Here is a 19,855-nt window from a genome sequence, read left to right as displayed (position 1 = left end):
CACGCGGACAGAGGTCAGCGTGAGCCCTTGCCTCAACAGGCCACCGTGAGGGAGGAGCAGGGTCGCACGCGGGCTGCTGGGAGGTAGGCAGGGACTTGGGCCTGGGAGGTCGCGGTGGGGCGAGAGCTGGGCCTGGAGACTCCCCTGGGAGGCAACAGCGGGTTTTGCAGACGCTCTTCTCCAGCCGGAGCTGGGACTGTTCAGTCACTGGGAGAAGGGATGTGGGTCTGAAGAGCTTGGTTGCAGAAACTTCGGGGTCTACAAAGGCCGGCGGGAGCTGAGCCAAAAGAGCTTGTTTGCTGGGAGGCGGGAGATGCAGCCAGGAGGAACAGCTGGGCCATGCGGGAGGCAGAGGCCGGGCCTCCTCAAGTCGGCCTCTCAGACCCACTTGGCAGCCTCCCGGCGTCCTCTCCGGGCCCAGCTCTTCCTCCCGGCTGCGTCTCCAGGCCGGACTCTGGCCCGACTCCAGGTCCCAACAACGTCTTTGGACTCAGCTCCTGCCCAGCTCCCAGCGGCCCTGGTAGGCCCACAACTTCCCTAAGCCAAGCTCCCTAGGCCCAGCTCAGGCCTCACGGTGGCCTCTCCAGGCTCAGCTCCTGCCCTCCGATGGCATCTGCAGGCCCCAAACGGCCTCCGGTCGGTGGGCTCCTCTAGGCCCAGCTTGGGCCTCCTGGCGGCCTCTGCAGGCCCAAGTCGTCCTCAAGTCGGCCTGGAAGTGGGCCTGGAAGAGCAGCAAGTTGGCCTCCCCGGGCCCAGCTCTGTCCTCTCGGCGGCCTCTCCAGGTGCAAAACTTCCTCGAGTCAGCCTCTCCAGGCCCAGCTCCTCCTGCCTCCCAGTGGCCTCTTTCGGCCCAGCCCAGCTCATGGCTCTCGGCGGCCTTCCCAGGCCCCGCTTTTGACTTTTGGCAGCCTCTTCAGGCGCAGAACTTGATCTCCAGTCGGCCTTTGCAGGCCCGGCCTCCTGCCTCTCGAAGGCCTGCACGGGCCCGGCCTCGGCCTCACAGCGGACTCTCCACGCCCAGCTAGCTCTCGCCTCACTGCGGCCTCCCCAGTCCACAGCTCCTGCCTTTCGGCCACTTCGGCAGGTCCAGCTCCTGCCTGCCAGTGGCCTCTTTAGGCCCAGCTCATTCCTCACAACGGCCTTTCCAGGCCCCGTTTTTCCCTTCTGGCAGCCTCTTGGCCTCTAATTTGTTTATCTTTTGTGTATAAATCCCAAAATATGGAATTTTGGAATATTTCCACCATTATATATTTTGGTAGGTAATTTATTTGGAGTGAGTTTCTGCACCATGCCCGATTTTTTTATTTTATTTTCCTTATTATTTGGTGTTAAACAGGTTTAATGATGGTCATGGCAACTTTTTGGCACAGTGAAAAATATCGCCCATGATCAACGTGTTCTGTTCTGGGGAAGGGGGCAAAGGCAGGGTGAATCACTTTCTTAAAAAGTATAGCTCAAGTTGGGAGTGCAGAGGGAATGGGGAGAAAACCCTCCCGCTGCCTGTGTCGAAGTGCAGGAGCCCCCACCCCCATACTCACCTGAGTCCAGCCCTTCTGGGGAAAGAAGGGGTGCATGAACTCCCCCTAGTCCACAGGCGCCTCCCTGTGGCCCAAGGCCCTCTTCACACTCCATCTTGTAGCCCCAGTAGGAGCTATTTTCCGAAAAGTGAAAAGCTCTGAAGGTCCCACAATTCATGGTATGTACAGGGGCTCGGAGGAGGGAAACTGCCCAGCTTTCCCCCGGCACAGCTGCAGGGGTAGGGGGTATAGATAAGAGGAGCAGGCCTTGGCCAGGTGTGGTGGCTCACGCCTGTAATCCCAGCACTTTGGGAGGGGGAGGCAGGCAGATCACGATGTCAGGAGATCGAAATCAGCCTGGCCAAGATGATGAAGCCCCGTCTGTACTAAAAATACAAAAATTAGCCGGACGTGGTAGCGTGCACCTGTAATCCTAGCTACCCGGAAGGCTGAGGCAGGAGAATGGCGTGAACCCGGCGGGAAGAGGTTGCAGTGAGCCAAGATCGCACCACTGTACTCCAGCCTGGGCGACAGAGCAAGACTCGGTCTCAAAAAAAAAAAAAAAAAAAAAAAAAAAGAGGCAGGCCTTACTCCGTCCCAAACTGAAAGGATTAAATGGCTTTACCTGGGAGAAGATAACCATCCTGCCCTCCATTGCTACCCCCACATACTGTCCATGTTCTCAGGGGGTACTGTGAGTCCTGGGATCTTTGGGGTTGCCCACCTGCCTGTGGTAGTTATGGAGACCCCCAGGTGTTGAGGCAGGGCTGGGGTGTCCCCTTCCAACCAGGCTGTCAAGGCCCCAACTCTGGGGCAGAGGCAGTGGCAGGGCAGCCAGGGTTGCGCCAGAGCCTGAGCAGGTTGAGGTGGGGTCAGGCAGGGCTGGGAGTCAGGGCAGGGGCAGCAGCAGTGGACCCGCTATGCACACATCTTCTTCTCCAAGGTTTGTGTGCAGAACATCCTGCCCATGCTGCCCCAGCAGCTTCAGTTGGCACCTGCCCCAGTCCAGCCTCGGAACCATGCAGCGGCTCCCAGCGGCCCTGCACCCACCACCAGCATCCGTTTCACCTGCAGTTGAAGATCCGTGAGGTGCCCAGAAGATCATGCAGTCATCAGTCCCACGGAGCAGCCCGCGAGGCTGAGGCTCCTCCCACTGGACCGCCCCCCAACTGGCACCACTGCTGCCCCTGCCCCTACTCTCAGCCTCACGTGACTCTCGGGCACAGGCAGTGGTGGGGCGGCCAGGGCAGCGTCAAGAGTCTGAGCCAGGTGAGGTGCGGTCAGGACCCCCACAGGGCTGGGAGTCAGGGCTGGGGCAGAACAAACCTTGGAGGGGAAGATGTGTGCATAGTGGGCCTGGAGGGCGGCTGTGGCCTAGTGGACAGGAAGAAGCAGTGGGCCTGGAAGAGCTGCATGATCAGGGCCGGCACTGGTCCAGGGCACGTGCAGTGAAGAGGACAGCGCCTTCTTGGTCTCCGGTTCCCTGAGCCTGTCCTCGGCTTCTCCACCTGTACAGGCAAAGGGGAAGCTGTCCCCATCACACATGGCACACTTGGGGGTGTTGGGCTTTGGACTGCAGCTGGAGCATCTTCTCATCTTGCATTTGGGCGTGGTGGGGTCCTCCAGTGTGGGATCCATGTCCGTGGGGTTCCCTCTGCCCCGACCCCGAAAGCCCAGTCAATTTCTCTTCAGGCTCTGCCCCCCGGGTGGCTCAGCCCAGCTCCTGCCTAGGAAAGCCTTAGTGTTGGGAGGGACCCTGATGACTGAGGAGCCTGGTAGCTCCAGGTCACCCACACTTTCAGGTCTCTTGCACCAGAAGGTGGCAGGATCCATTGGGAGGAAACAGGTCACCTTGGAAGGCATCCCTGGGCCCCCATCCCCAGGGGTAGGGGCCGTAGGGGGCCCGCTCTGCTGCCTTGACCAGACTCCTGGGCTTTGAAGGCTCCTGGGCCCAGTAAGAAGGAGGTGGGTGCCAAGGTTGAGGAGGAAGCATCCAAGTATGTGTTGGAGGAGGACAGGGTGGGACCATAGACTTTGCCAAAAGCTGCAGGTGGATCGGGGGACCCTGGGGGCTCAGGATCCAGCAAGGGGCGGCAGGAGTAAAGGAGGAAGGAATGACAGGTGCAAATACCTTCCCACCAAAGCCCTTGTTGCCCTCTGGCTCCTCCCCAGAGTTGTCCCCACTCTCAGTCGGTCACCCACTCCTTGAACTTGAGATCGGTGTCGGTGGTGCTAAAGCCATCATCAGCAATGACATCATCACCCCCTCCTCCTCATGGATGACCGTGTGCTCCTCGTCACTCGCTGTGTCCTCACCGGCCATGTGCTGGGAATGAGCAGCTCAGGTGGGCAGCAGCAGGGCTGCCCACGGGTCACCTCCCTCACCAGGGGCTGCAAAGTGGCCTGGAGCTCCATGCTGAGTAGAAGGCTTTGGGCCAGAGTATGATGCAGTGCCAGACACCACCTGTGTCAGTTCCCGTAGTGCCTGGCGGTCTATTTCCCTGCCGTCCAGGCTGTGTACCCCTCTGTGGGAGAAGGCTTGGGCCAGGCTGAGCCAGGTTCCCTGACTGTGTGCAGCTGTTCTGCCCCACAGAAGCTGCTCCTTGGTATCCGAGCTCTGGAGTGTTTGGGCTGCAACTGACAGGAGTTCAGAGGACACCCCAGGGGCAGTGGCAGTGCCCGTCTCTGATATGCTCCGCTCCCACGAGCCCTTGTTACACTCCTGCTAGCCCCTGGCTTGTGGGCTTGGCCTCTGAGCTGGACTTCTTTCGGTCCTTGTTGCAAGTGGGCCACCTTCACCTGGAAGGCCAGGTTGTATTTCTGCATCTCATTGGGCCCCAGGGTGTACCACCGCTCGCTCAGCATCTGGCTGATGGTCTGGTTATCCTGGTTAGGGTGACCCTGGTGCGCCCTGCCAGGGCCTGGTGCCGCTTGCTGAAGATCATGACCGCCACTCATGGGCCACCAGATGTGGTCCTTGTCCCATTTGTTGGGGTTGCGTCCATCCTTATCAGAAGATGAGTCCTGTTCCTTGCGCAGGGCACTGAGGGACTGGGCCTGACATCATCTGAGTGGTAGAGGCAACTGGGTGTCAGGAGACATGATGGAGAGGAAAGCATCATCATGGTCATTCTCTGTCTCACTGTCCAGCAGGGACTCTCCTGAGGGGCCCAGGGCTCCTCCTCCATGGTGGGAGGTGAGCTTTTACCAGGTTCCACCACCCGCAAAGTGTGTGGGGTTGCAGGCCCTGGGCTTTCAGGGCAGATGGCTCCAGGGGGCCGCCCAGGGTCAACACTCCCTGTCCCACCTGGTGGACGCTCATGAGCAACAGCTGCCAACTTGGCAGGTTGTTTTCTCTGGTTGGAGGCCACTGAGTGACTGGCAGGTTGCTGGGCCTCGTGTGGCTGCGGGGGGTGCGTCAGGAAGGGGATGGAGTACCAGGGGAACACGGCCACAGAGTGAACTTCCACATTCCTCCACACGAACATGCTGACGCCACGGGAGGCCTCACTGAACGCAGGCCTGAGGGCCGAGTACTTGGTCCGGGCAGGGGGTTCCTGGCAGGGGCTCACACCTCCTCGCCCCCTCCTCAGCCAAGGTGGCTTGGGCCCAGAGAAGGGGAGGTTGGAGAGGAGCAGAAGGCCAGGCCTCAAGTTTTGTTTTTTTTGTTTGTTTTGTTTTTTGTTTTTGAAATGTAGTTTGACTCTTGTCACCCAGGCTGCAGTGCAGTGGCACGATCTCAGTGGCCTTCATACCTGGCTAATTTTTTGTATTTTTACTGGAGGTGGGGTTTTGCCATGTTGGCCAGGCTGGTCTTGACCTCCCGACCTCAGGTGATCCACCCACCTCGGCCTCCCAAAATGGGATTACAGGCATGAGCCACCGCTCCCAACTTCATTCATTTTTACTTGAAAAACTCCCTTAAGCATTTTTTTAAGGTAGACCTACTGGTCCTGAATGCCCTCAGCTTTGTTTGTCGAGGAAACACGTTACTTCTTCTTTCTTTCTGAAGGACAGCTTTGTCAGACATAGTATTAGTTGCTGGCAGTTTTTTTCTTTCAGCACTTTGAATGTATTATTCGATTCTGTCCTGACCTGCAAAGTTTCTTTAACTTTTGACTATTTGATTATATTGTGACTTGGTGAGTATCTATTTGGTTTGAACCTCTTTAGGAATCTTTAAGCTTCATGGATTTAGATGTCTAAATCTTTCCCATGATTTAGGCAGTTTTCAGCCATTCTTTAAATAAGCTTTCTTCTCCTTTCTCTACTTTCCTTCTCAAACTCCCATAACCTGACAATGGTTTGCCTAATGGTGTCTTGTTGGCTTTCTTTTCTCTGTCTCTTTTTTTTTCTTTTTTTTTTTTTTTTGAGACAGAGTCAGAGTCGTGCTTTGTCACCCAGGCTGGAGTGCAATGTGTGGTCTCGGCTCACATTGCACTCCAACCTCCGCCTCCTGGGTTCAAGCGATTCTCCTGCCTCAGCCTCCCAAGTAGCTGGGACTACAGGTGTGTGCCACCACACCCGGCTAATTTTTGTATTTTTAGTAGAGATGGGGTTTTGTCACGTTGGCCAGGCTGGTCTTGAACTCCTGACCTCTTAATCTGCCTGCCTCGGCCTCCCAAAGTGTTGGGATTACAGGCTTGAGCCACCACGCCCAGCCTTCTTTTCTCTTTTTTATTCTTTTTTTCTTTGTTCTCTGACTGGATAATTTCAGAAGATCTATATTCAAGTTTACAGATTCTCTCTCCTGTTGAAGTTTACTATTGTGTTATATCACCCAGTCTGGTCTTGAACTCCTGGGCTCAAGCGATCCTCCCACCTTGGCCTCCCAAAGTGCTGAGTTTACAAGCATGAGCCACTGCATCCAGTCAGTCCCAGCACTTTGGGAAGCTGACGTGGGAGGATCACTTGAGCTCAGGAGTTTGAGACCAGCCTGGGCAACATACTGAGAACTTGTCTCTATATTAAAAAAAAAAAAAAAAAGTCTTTGGGAGGCCAAAGCGGGAGGATCACCTGAGGTCAGGAGTTCGAGACCAGCCTGGCCAACATGGCAAAACCCCATCTCTACTAAAAATACAAAAATTAGCCAGGTGTGGTGGCACACACCTGTAGTGGTGGTGCATGCCTGTAGTCCCAGCTACTCAAGAGGCTGAGGCAGGAGAATCACTTGAACTGGGAGATGGAGGTTGCAGTGAGCTGAGATTGCACCAGTGCACTCCAGCCTGGGCAACAGAGTGAGACTCCATCTTATAAAAGGAAAAAAGAAAGAAAAGAAAAATTCCATATCTGAGTGTTTACTCCTGAGTTTTTGAGATTGTTATTAAGATCGTGCTCTACTGTGATGATTTAGGTTTGTTTGATAATCAGAAAAAAGCATATTCTTTTGGGTGTTCAGCCACACTGCTTTGGTGTCACAACTGCACATTGGTTTCACAGTTGCAGGACAAATTCGAGCATCTTAAAATGATTCAACAGGAGGAGATAAGGAGGCTCGAGGAAGAGAAAAAACAACTGGAAGGAGAAATCATAGATTTTTATAAAATGAAAGCTGCCTCTGAAGCACTGCAGACTCAGCACTGATACAAAGAAAGACAAACATCGTAAGAAGCAATAGTTTCTCTTACTATTCTGAGAGCCTTATCATTCTACATCCCATCTTCCTGTGAGATTGTCTTTGTAGCATTTAACTCTAATTGCAGTTCTCTTTTTAAAAATTGGCTTGCTTATTGTATATTTTCCCCAACTAAAGCGTGAACTCCTAGCAGGGCGTGGTGGCTCATGCCTGTAATCTCAGCACTGTGGGAGGCCGAGGTGGGTCGACTACCTGAGGTTAGGAGTTTGAGACCAGCCTGACCAACATGATGAAACGCTGTCTCTACTAAAAATACAAAAATTAGCTAGGTGTGGTGGCTGGGACCTGTAATCCCAGCTACTTGGGAGGCTGAGGCAGGAGAATCACTTGAACCCTGGAGGTGGTGGTTGCAGTGAGCCGAGATCTCACCATTACACTCCAGCCTGGGCGACAAGAGCAAAACTCCATCTCAAAAAAAAAAAAAAAAGGATGAACTTGAAGGCAGGTCCTGTGTCCATCTTTTCAGATTCTGTATCCCAGCACTTAGGACATAGACAAACACGAAGATGACAATCAATATTTGCCAAAATGAAAAAACAAAAGAAACATGTAACATCATGTAAAAGAAGCTGGTTAGGTGGAGAAATTTCTTTACCATAGTCTTGCTTGTGGATCCAGTAGTGACTTTTACATTTTATATCTAAATAGAAGCTGGAGGCTTTGTTGGGTACTCATAGGCATAAAATATTATGTTATTTATTATAGAGTTAAATGCTACAAAGACAAATCTAATTAATAGGCCTATTTTCCTTTTTAAGTTCTACTCATAATTTCTTCATAGTTTTTATGATAAAAGGTTGGATTTTGATTAGAACTCCCATGCTTTTGTGTCAGAATTAAAACTGGTATTAGAATAAATAATTCAAAAGCTAGAGAAAGAGTACAATGAGAAGCCATGAGTTGCATTTGAATTATAATATTATGTCTTACAGATTTGGGGTATATGCTAAAGTTACCAAAGTTGTAGAAAATAAGGCTGGGCATTGTGGCTCACATCTGTAATTCCAGCACTTTGGGAGGCCGAGGTAGACGGATCATTTGAGGTCAGGAGTTCAAGACCAGCCTGGCCAACATGGTGAAACTCCGTCTGTACTAATAGTACAAAAATTAGCCAGGCGTGATGGTGTGCACCTGTAGTCCTTGCTACTCAGAAAGCTGAGGCAGGAGAATCGCTTGTACCCAGGAGGCAGAGGTTGCAGTGAGCAGAGATTGTGCCACTGCACTCCAGCCTGGGTGACAGAGTGCTATGAGTCACCACACCTGGTATGAGCCACCGTGCCTGGCCCACAATGACTTTTACACATGTTGTTAAATCATCTTACAGATTTTATAATTTGGGGGAAGAAAAGTTTTACTAAATGGTCTTTTAATGGAAACTCTACAAGAACCAGAATCTTTGCTTTGTTCACTTATGTATCCATTCCTAGGCCTAGAAAAATGTCTGACACATAGCGGCAATTATTCATTGAATAAATGGACCCAGCGATAGTACATTAGCTGTGCTATATGCATACATTAAAGATGTAGATTATTGACTTTCAAAAGATAATTAATGTAACTTCTTACTGCTTCTGAACATGTTTGTGAGTTATATTGCTGAGGGACCTTTATCTTCTCATTCTTTCATCTTAACCCAGTGTTATAAAATTGAAATCACCAATATTATTCCATATCTAAAATTAATATCTACCTTGTAAAAAATATCACTCTGCTGCATTTGACAATAGACTTTTTAGGTAATAATGATGCAATCCATAGGGTTTTTTGGGGGCACAGAGGGATTCATGCTAACAGAACATTTTATTTTCTATTTTCCCAGAGCTGTAAAACATGAAATTGGGGTAGTATAAGGCATATTTTTACTCTTTTTATAATTTTTTCTAAAAAAAATTAGTGTTTGTTCCCTATATAACTTTTAACTTTATAGGTAAATATTTGTCTCTTTCAGCTCCAGTTTTATGTGAAATAGAGTTTTCAGATTTATGTAGCATGGAAAGTTTTAATACGTCAGAGTTACTGATTTTTGCCATTTTCTCAATTATTTCTTTTTTATCTTTAGTTGATTTTTTTGTAGTGACACATTTTGTTTCTAGTCTCATTTCCTTTTGTTTATATTCTGTGTATATTTCGTTTTTGGTTACTATGAGAATTACATATAACATCCTAGAGTTATAACATTTTAATTTGAATTTATTTCAACAAGTTCAATCACATACCAAAATTCTACTGCTATACATATAGCTCTACTCTTTTTATGTTATTGATGTAACAAATTATATCTTTATTCATTGTATACCAGCTAACAGATTTACAGTTACATTTTATGCATTTGCCTTTTAAATTATGTAGAAAATAAAAAGCAGAGTTAGAAACCAAAATTACAATAGGACTGTTTTTATGTTTGTTTATGTATTTACCTTTACCAGAGAGCTTTGTATATTCATACAGCTTGCTTATTTACTTATATAGTTATTGCCTAGAGTTCATTTATTTCAACCTGAAGGACTTAACACTTCTTGAATGGCAAATTCAGGGATAAATGGATTTTTTTTCAGTTTTAAAAAAAAATCCGGAATTGTCTTAATTTCTCCCTCATTTTTGAAGGATAAGTTTTCCAGCTATAGATTTCTCAATTGACAGGTTTCTTCATTATTTTAAATATATAATCGACTGCCTACTGGCCTTCAAGGTTTCTGCCGAGAAATCAGCTGCTAATGTTATCTGGATCCCTATCTGTGAGAGTTGCTCTTCTCTCTGAGTTTTCAACATTCTCCCATTATCTTTTGTTTGTTTGTTTTTGAGACAAATAATTGTACATATTCATGGGATACAGAGTGATATTTTGATACATGTATACAATGTCCAATGATCAAATAAGGATAATTAGCATATCCATCACCTCAAATATTTGTCATTTATTTGTATTGTGAACAGTCAACATTCTTTCTTCTAGTTTTTTAAATTTATAAACATTTAAATTTTATTACAGAAATTTAAATTTTTTGATTCTGAAAAAGTCATATATGTATGCAACATCGTTTTATCATTTATTTATATATTTATGCATCTTTCCTTTTAGTTTTGACAGAGATTTTCTATTTTATTATTATTTCAAAAGAACTCTTACCTGTATTTATTTATCAATTATATTTCCCTTGTTTTTTCCTAGTATATTAATTTATTTACTTATCTTCTAAAAATCCTCCATATAATCTGTTTTGTTTCCTTTCTATAATTTCTTCAATGATTAGTTCTGTTCTATTTTCCATTAAAATATTTAAATCTCATATGAATTTTTGTCAGATTAGAAATTTAGGGCATTTCTTAATTTCTCTATATTCTAGCTTTTGACTTTTTTTTTCTGACCTAAGAGGTATTTAGAGCACATTTTAGATTTTTTATTTTGACTAATCATTTAAAATGTGTACTAATCTTCAATTTAAATAAAAAACTGGTCTATAGTGACAAAAATTACAAATGAGCCTGACTAATAAATTATCAGCTGTGTTTATATGTATAAGCATGCACAGATTTTGGTAAGTATGTACATAGTATATTGGTGAGCTTATTTTTGTCATTCTTAACTCATTGTGTAGTCTAAACGCTGGGGAAAAAATAAAATACAATAATCAGATGGTGTGAATAAGAAAATTGTTCTACTGTTTGTAAACCAAGCAACGGTTTTAACTGCTCCCCTCTTCCTGATTGACTTCCAAAAGGGATTAATCCATATTGGGTCCTATCATATATGTCACGGTATAACATCTCCAGCTATAAAATGGAAATTTGAGAATAACTTTGCTGCTACTCAGATACATTTTATTTCAAAAACATACACTAAGGTGTTGCTGTTGGATCTTTCCAAAAACATATTCACACAGAACTTTCAATCACACTGAGCCATATTTGAACAATCTTTCAGGGTCAGCTCTGGCATAAGCTAACATTATACCATTTAACTCAGAAATTTCTTTAGTATTTGATTAATGAGTTTATGTTTGATATGTAATGTAATTTTCTAATGCTAAATCAAGTGGTAATTTTGTTAGTCAAGTTGATTTAGTGGCTTGGGAAGAAAGCTTTTAATGTTCCCCTAATTTTTCTTACCTTTGACATGATCCTTCACTGTCTTATTTTGCTTACTGATTTTTCTTTTTTTTTTTTTTTGAGACAGGTTCTTACTCTACCACCCAGGCTTGAGTGCAGTGGTGTGATCACAGCTCATTGCAGCCTTGACCTCCCAGACTCAAGCTATTCTTCCACCTCAGCCTCCCAAGTAGCTGGTACTACAGGCACATGCCACCAAACTTGGCTAATTTTTGTATTTTTTGTAGAGACAGAGTTTTGCCAAATTCTCAGGCTGGTCTGGAATTTCTGGGCTCAAGTAATCCTGCCTTGGCCTCCCAACATGCTGATATTACAGACATAAGCCACAGTACCTGGCCAGTTTTCTTTTTTTAAAAATCTATTGGTTATTAATTTGAAGCCTTCCTTTTCATAGCTGTGCTCCTTAATTGGGAGCAAACATGAATGGACCACAACTTAGCCAATTTTCTATATACAATCTTTGCCATCCTAATTTAAAGGGATATTAATTCTTTCTTTTCCTCTTTCATTCCACAAACCTGTATTGACTACATCTAAGTTCTAAATGGTGCACTGGATGTTGAAAAAGTTGATGAGCAAGAACAAAATTCCTCCTTTCAGGAGACTTACAGTTCAATATGGGAAACATAATTTGTTAAAATATAAAAGTGCAATTGTGTTACATGCTGTACGAAGTACATGTTGACATGTGAGTATATAATAAATGGGCTGGAGGCCAGAGGATTGCCAAAGAGAATGGGCCTCCTGCTGAGATGAAAAGTTGAGCAGGGATTAGTTGGCGAAAGTGGAGGGACGACTCTTTCTAGGCAGGAGGAAGAACATGTACAGAACCTCTGAGGTGTGATGCGACAAAGTCTATACAAAAAACTGAAGAAAGGTCTAATGTGGCTTAAATACAGAAGCCAGTAGGAGAGGAGTTGAAAAGAGGCTGGAAAAGTAGAAAGTGTCTGCATTCTGCAGGAACTTATATTGTATAAAAAGAATTTCTCTTTATTCTAAGTGCAATGTGAAGCCAATGAAGTGCTTTAAACAGGTGATGCGATTTGATTGAATTTATTACTTCACTTAACAAATATTCATTACATGCCCACTGTTTGTCAGATATTGCTGTAGCCCCTGGTGATACAGTAGGGAATAAAACAGGCAAAAATCCCTGTCCTCTTGCAGCTTATAATGGACTGCAATGTTTAATATGTCAGAGGAGGTCCACGGAGGAGTGACTTCTAAGCAAGAATCTGAAAAAAATGAGGATATCTAAGGAGGGAACAAATGGTTCAAAAGCCCTATAATTGCAAGCAGGCATGATGAAGCAATTGTAGTTGTCCTGACTCTCAACACCGTGGAACTCAAAGGAGATGGAAAGATTCTTTCTCTCCCTCATATATTTTCTCTCTGTCTATATATATAGAATATGAGACATTTCCCTGATCATTATGTGTAATTACAATTACATATATATATGTTTATATATTACATACATATATATATGTAATTGTAATTACACATAATGATCAGGGAAATGTCTCATATTCTCAGAAATAAGCAATATAGCAATTACTGTTTTTTACATTTTACAGTTACAGTTTCAGAGAAAGTTTGATATTTATCTAAAATTTTTCAATGTATGAACTTTTTCATTTGGCAAACCATAATTGTACATATTCTTGGGATACAGAGTGATATTTCTTTACATGTATAGAATGTGTAGTGATCAAATCAGGGTAATTTCCACTAATTTAAAATGCCACCTTTATGTTATTGTAATTTATATATATACTATATATATACACACACACACACATATATATATACATGTCCACATACAGTGTGTGTGTGCACATGTACACACATGCATATGTGTATATAATGCCCAGTATAAGCAATGTGCACAAATAAAATTAGCTAACAGAGATAGTATAGAGTGAGAGGAGAGGCAGATTAATCTTTGAGGAAAAGCACAATTTTATGGCTGAATGGAGAAAGCTGAGGTGGTTTCTAAGATGGAGAATAAGACGAAAAATGTAAGTACGTTGTTTGACTGAATTCAAGAAAGAAGGGTAAAAGAGAAGAAAGTAGTGGTCTTATCATTAAATGCCACAGAGAGGTAAAGATAAAAACAACGTATTGTTTTGGGTTTAGTAATTTAAGGGTTACAAAATTCCGTTTTGGAGGAGGAACAGATTCCATGTCCACTAGAATGGAATGAACAAGAAATGGAGGAGGAAAATAGGTAGTTTTTCAAAAGTTTTCAAAAATATGAAAAGAAGAAATGAAATGGTACTTGGAAGAGATTGTTGAAATGGGAGAGACTATGGTGGCTTGTTTAGAAGCAGTTGAGATAGATCCAATTGAGATAAGAGATATTGACTATATAAACAAAAGAATGACAAATTAATAGTGTAATGGATAACTTGACTTTGGCAAATATTGTGAATTTTTGTGAAAGTACAACTAAAAGGCAATGTCACTCCAATAATCGCCAGAGTAATCAATTTGCTTATTGCTGTCCCTTTAAATATAGTTCTCTGGTATCAACTAACATGTTTTTAACTAATGATGCTTCTTAAAGAAAAGGGAAAAGACCTTTTTCTTTCTTTCAGTCCTCAATGATTCACTGCTTCATCTCGCTCCACCAAAGATAAATGAAATCTACATCTCTTATACATTAACAATGCATGACAATTTATAAATAGCTAAATTTTTGGAGCTAACTTTAAGTACCTGAATGGAATTTAATCAACCCACTAATCTCCTTCTCACTTCTCAGTTATTTATCAAGTTTATGTCAAGGGACAAGGAAAAATTATCCAAACATTGTTTAAAACAATCATCATTAATTAGTAACACTTATCCAGGGGGGTTTTTAACCTTTCCCCCACTCAAGGATTATTCTAATGTCAGAGTAGAATAAAAAATAAGTGCAGCGATGCTGACTCTTCCAAGCTTAACATTTCTCACAAGTCAATTAGCTTTGTACTGGGAGGAGGGCGTGAAGGGCTGCTTGCGGTAGTTGTGTAGCAGCAGCACAATGGCCGCAGACAAGGAAAACAGTTTCTAGGAATTCCTCGTATATAATTTTATATTTTTGACAAGATTAATGACCCATGCTCCCTTCCTCTCCATTTCTTTTTTTGGAGTTCTGTTGGTATGTAGTTACTGTATTTTATTAAAGGAAATTAGCCTTATCTCTTATTATATTTTAATAAAGAAAATTATTATATTATTCCTTTATATTTTTATTAAAGGATTTTATTATTATTATTAAAGGAAATTAGCCTTATCTCTTATTATATTTTTTATGACCTTCAAAGTAGTGTCTCTGCTTAAAAGTGTACCCTGGCCGGGCGTGGTGGCTCACACCTGTAATTCCAGCACTTTGGGAGGCCGAGGCGGGTGGATCACGAGGTCAGGAGATCGAGACCATCCTGGCTAACATGGTGAAACCCCGTCTGTACTAAAAATACAAAAAATTAGCAGGGCATAGTGGCGGGCGCCTGTAGTCCCAGCTACTCAGGAGGCTCAGGCAGGAGAATGGCGTGAACCCGGGAGACGGAGCTTGCGGTGAGCTGAGATCGCACCGCTGCACTCCAGCCTGGGCGACAGAGCAAGACTCCGTCTCAAAAAAAAAAAAAAAAAAGTGTACCCTGAAGCACACATCAAGCGACATGTAGAGTTCATAAATTCTGGCCAAATGGTCATACCTCAAACCTCATCAGCACTAAGGCTCTTTACTTGCACTGACAAATATTGAACGCTGGGGAATTTGGAAATGATATATAATATATAATATTATATATATAATGGATATATAATATATAAGATATAAGATATAATATATATGTAATAGATATACAATGTTATATATATAATAGATCTATAATATTATATAATAGATATATAATATATGTACAATAGATATATAATATATAATAGATATATAATATATATATAATAGATATATAATATTATATATATAATAGATATATAATATTATATATATAATAGATATATAATATTATATATATAATAGATATATAATATATAACTTTCCATGTGATTTTCCTCTTAATTTTTTTCTAGCTGATCCATATGAATTCCTCTTATTAAGAAAAATAAAGCATCCAGGATTCAATGAAGAACTGACTATCACCTTGTTAATCATTCAGAAACATGTTGCAGACTTAAGCCATTTTTGATATAGATACTGAAACAATTACTTGCTAAGAGCAAACTTGAAGGTATGGATAAGGCCCTGAGTCATCTTCCTGAGCTGAATGATAGTTAAGCTGAATGTACGTATAAAATATGATTTTCTAACCACTTGCTCGCCAACAAGGAAGACTTTTAAGTAGAGCAGAACCTGAATAGACAAGACATTTCTTTCTTTTGGTAGAAAATGATTTACCATCACTGTCTAGTTAATTGTAGACTAGGTAATTTTAACTTTGTGATTTATTGCCAGAGACATTTTCTTCTGTACTGTAAAGTGTGTGTCAAAAAAAAGTAGCGATTTTGGAGGATTAGGGGAGTTTGATAAATTGCCTGCAATTCTGGCAGTATGAACTGCATATTAATTTCTCTCTTTCAAGAACATTTTTATTTATTAATTCCTTACAAAAACTCCCTGAACTTTGGAACAGCTCTCAATTGCCTGTATTCTTTTTTTTCTTATTATGGTACTCTTCTAGAGATTTGGCTTGCATCTATGAATAAGCCAGGACATCTTCAGAAATTGTCTGATTAAAAACACCACCAATGGAGTTGCATTAAATTTGTATTGCTCTGACTAGTGAAACACACACATCTATGTTGCTGAGGATATTTTACTGCAGTTTGAGTTGTAATAATAGCTCTGTTTAAGATCCGTCAGTCACTTGAATCTTCTCTAAGGCTTTGTATGTTAGAAGTTAATTTTGCCTTCTTACAAGGCCACATTCTATCTTGTAACTAAACAACTGAATTTTATGTCTTAGCGTAGATGGTTTATTACTTTCTGGTTTTTCTTTAGTAAGAATCCTATAAAAACACTAGTATTTTTCTCTGAGTTTAAAATTCAACACATGCCTACTGATATGGTTAGGCTTTGTATCCCCACCTGAATCTCATCTTGAATTGTAATCCCCATAGCCCCCATAATCCCCACAGGTCAAGGGAGAGACCAGGTGGAGGTAATTGAATCATGGGGGCAGTTTCCCCTGTGCTGTTCTTGTGATAGTGAGTTCTCACGAGATTTGATGGTTTTATAAGGGATTCTTTCCCCTTTGCTCGGCACTTCTTCATGCTGCCTTGCGAAGAAGCTGGCTTGCTTCTCTTTGTCTTCCGCCATGATTGTAGATTTCCTGAGGCCTCCCAAGCTGTGCTGAACTGTGAGCCAATTAAACTTCTTTCCTTTATAAATTACCCAGTCTTGGGCAGTTCTTTATAGCAGTATGAAAACAGACAAATACACCTACTATGTAAAACTTAAAATACAAAAAAACAAAACATTATCTCACTAACATAGGAGCTAATATTTTGGTGTACTTTGTTTAGTATTTTATATTAAAAATATGTACATATATATTTATATATAATTAAGAACATGTATGTACAATCGTGCATACATCATGTACATACATCTACTTAAGAAAATAGCTATGTAATATACCATTACTCAACTAGATTATAATTTTTTCTCCATTTATTGTAATTTATCATTTTCTACTTTTTTGTTTTCTCATTTTTATTGCATAATATTTAATTATGCAAAAAATACATTAAATACATTGAAAATATATAGTGTAGCTATAAGAATAAAGAACGATGGTAAAACAAATGCTAATACCCACTACCTGACTTAAAGAATATGATACTATTTTTTTCCAATTGAAATCCCCTCAACTACTCAGAATTACTGCTATCCCTTTTATCCTTTCATTAATTTTCTTCTAGTTTTCTCACATGTGAATCTATTTCTAAATACATTTCTTTATTTTGCAAGTTTTTGGACTTCATATAAACGTAACCATATTGTATATATTCTTCTTCAGCTTCTTTTTCACTAAACAATATGTTTTGCTGATACTTACATTCATATGTACAGTAATAGTTGATTTATTTTAATTGCTATATATTATTCCATTGTTAGAATACACCAGGATTTATTTTTACTTATTTTTTTTGCTGGAAAATTGGGTGTCTTTTTTATTTTTTGATATAACAAACAATGTTGTAATCATTTTGTATTTACTTCCTAGTCCACTCCTGTAAGTTTCTCTTGAGTACATACTAGCAATGAAGATGCTGAGTCACTGCATATACATACTCACAACTTTATTCTATAATGTAATATTCTATAAAGTAGCTGTATCAGTTTATACTTTAACCAGTAATGGACAAGATTTTCTGTTACTTCCCATCTTTGTTAATTATTACTTTTAGACTCTAACTTTTATCAGGCTCATGGATGTAAAAAGCATCTCAGGGTGGTTTTAATTTGCATTTATCTGCTCATCTATGAAGATGAGCTTCTTTTCATATAATTATGAGTCATTATTTTTGTTTTGCCTTCTTTTGTTTATGCATTTTGCTTGTTCTATGTGTTATTTTTCCTGTTGATTTTTGGGGGTTCATATATATTCTAAGTGTATATTTATTCACTCATATATATGTTGCAAATATTACAGTTTATGATTTGTCACCTTATGATATCATCCAAATAGAGAAGCTTTATATTTTGATGTAGTCATATGTTCATTTTTACTCCTTAATGTTTGTTTTTCTTGGTTCTATGACCTACCAAAAGTAACAAAAATTCTCATTTATTTTTAATCTAAATGTTTTAAGTATTTTCCTGGAATTCACCTTGAATTGATTTCTATTGGAGATAGGTATCCAATCTAATTTGCCTCATATGGATAACCGCTTGTTCTATTACTGCTGTAACAAATTTCTACAAACTAAGTGACCTAAAATAACACAAACTTGTCATCTTACAGTGTACACAAGTCAGAAATCAGGCATGAATTTTAGTGAACTAAAATCAAGTTGTCGACAGGCATGTTTCTTTATGGCGGCTAGGGTAGAATCCATATCCTGGCCTTTTCTATCTTCTAGAGAACATCAGCATTCCTTTTCTCATTGCCTCTCCTCTCTCTTTTTAAAGCTGGCAATGTCACATTTCTCTGACCATTCTTTCATTGTCACATCTCTCTCTGGACTCAGCTAAGAAAGGTTCTCCATTTTTAAGAATTCATGTGATTAGACTGGGCCCATCTGGATAACCCAGGAAGATCTCTCCATCTCGGTTTGCATCCTTAATCACATCTGATGAGCCTTTATTGCATTCAGTGTAACATATTCACAGGTTCCAGGGTTAGGCATGGGCATCTTTGAGGGCCATTATTCTCCCTACCACATTATTTGCCTAGCATCTTTCATTACATTGTCCATCTATTTACTTACTGATTTCTAATGACATCCAAATCAGGTACAACATTTTATGTAAGCATTGTTTTTATTTTTATGTTATTCCACTAGTCTATTTTTCTACTCATGAATTATGGTACATGAGTTTATTTTTGCAACTTTAAGCTCAATAACATGTTTTAAGATTTCCTCAACTTTCTTTTTCCACTTCTTCAGAAGTTGACTCTTTTGGCCCTTTGGTCTTCTGTACACATTTTAGAAATGCTTTGTTGAGGACTAAGAGGAATGCTAAGATTTTGATAGGAATTTCATTGATTTTTGAGTATATTGGCATGCTACAATGGTTAGTGTTTTATACATGAAAATAATATATCCCTTCCTCTTTTCCTAGTATCATGAGATGTTTGTTAGGCAGACATGAATATTGAGTTGTATCAAATGTGTTTTTCTGCGTTATTGTGGTGGTGATGTGATTTAGCTCCTTTAGTTAATGTAATGAATTACATTTGTAGATTGCTCTAACTATTGAAACAAGCTTGAATTTCTGGAATAAGCCCAATGTGATATTTATTCAACAAATATTCATTGAGTATACCTAGTATGTAACATGCTTTAAGAATACGCCAGTGAACCAAACAGAAATATCTGACATTACAGAACTTAACATTCCAGTATTTGGAGACAGACGATAAAAAAGTGAACATGTATATTTACAGTTTGTCAAGGAATGATAAATGAAGACTCTTAAAGTAGATGGGGAATTGGGAGTGAAGTCTGTAAGTTAAATAGGGTGGGCAGGAAAGCTTCACAGAGAATGGGACATTTAAGAATAGACTTGAAGGACAGGCAAGAGCAATCTCTATGTTTATATGGGAGAAAAGGTTCCAGGCAGATGCAGTAACAATGGAAAATATCCTGAAGTAGGATCATGCTGGAGTTTTTGTGGAGCAGCAAGGAGGCTAGTGTGACTGCCACAGAATCACCCAAGGGAAGATGAGAAGATCAGACCAGACCAGCACTTGGGCATCTAAATGGGAAAAGTTTCTCAAGCCATCATAAAAATTTCACTTTTACTATAAATACTACGAGAAACCATGGATGTTTTACAGTAAGAAAGGTGGCATAATATGTTACATGTTTTAAACAAACTCTATAGCTTCTGAGTTGAAATAGATTGTAGGGGCTCATG

General features: G+C 41.4%; 3 pseudogenes; 2 read left to right on the top strand and 1 right to left on the bottom strand.

Moving 5' to 3' along the window:
• Positions 1 to 49: 49 nt before the first annotated feature.
• Positions 50 to 1,263, top strand: LOC105373249 (putative uncharacterized protein FLJ44672; annotated as a pseudogene).
• Positions 3,263 to 5,095, bottom strand: CICP21 (capicua transcriptional repressor pseudogene 21; annotated as a pseudogene).
• On the top strand, positions 6,955 to 7,332 carry SEPTIN14P21 (septin 14 pseudogene 21; annotated as a pseudogene).

The sequence above is a fragment of the Homo sapiens genome, chromosome 1 (genome assembly GCF_000001405.40).
Source record: "Homo sapiens chromosome 1, GRCh38.p14 Primary Assembly".
In the NCBI taxonomy this organism is placed as follows: Eukaryota; Metazoa; Chordata; class Mammalia; order Primates; family Hominidae; genus Homo; species Homo sapiens.
This window is presented reverse-complemented; position numbering and strand designations above follow the sequence as displayed.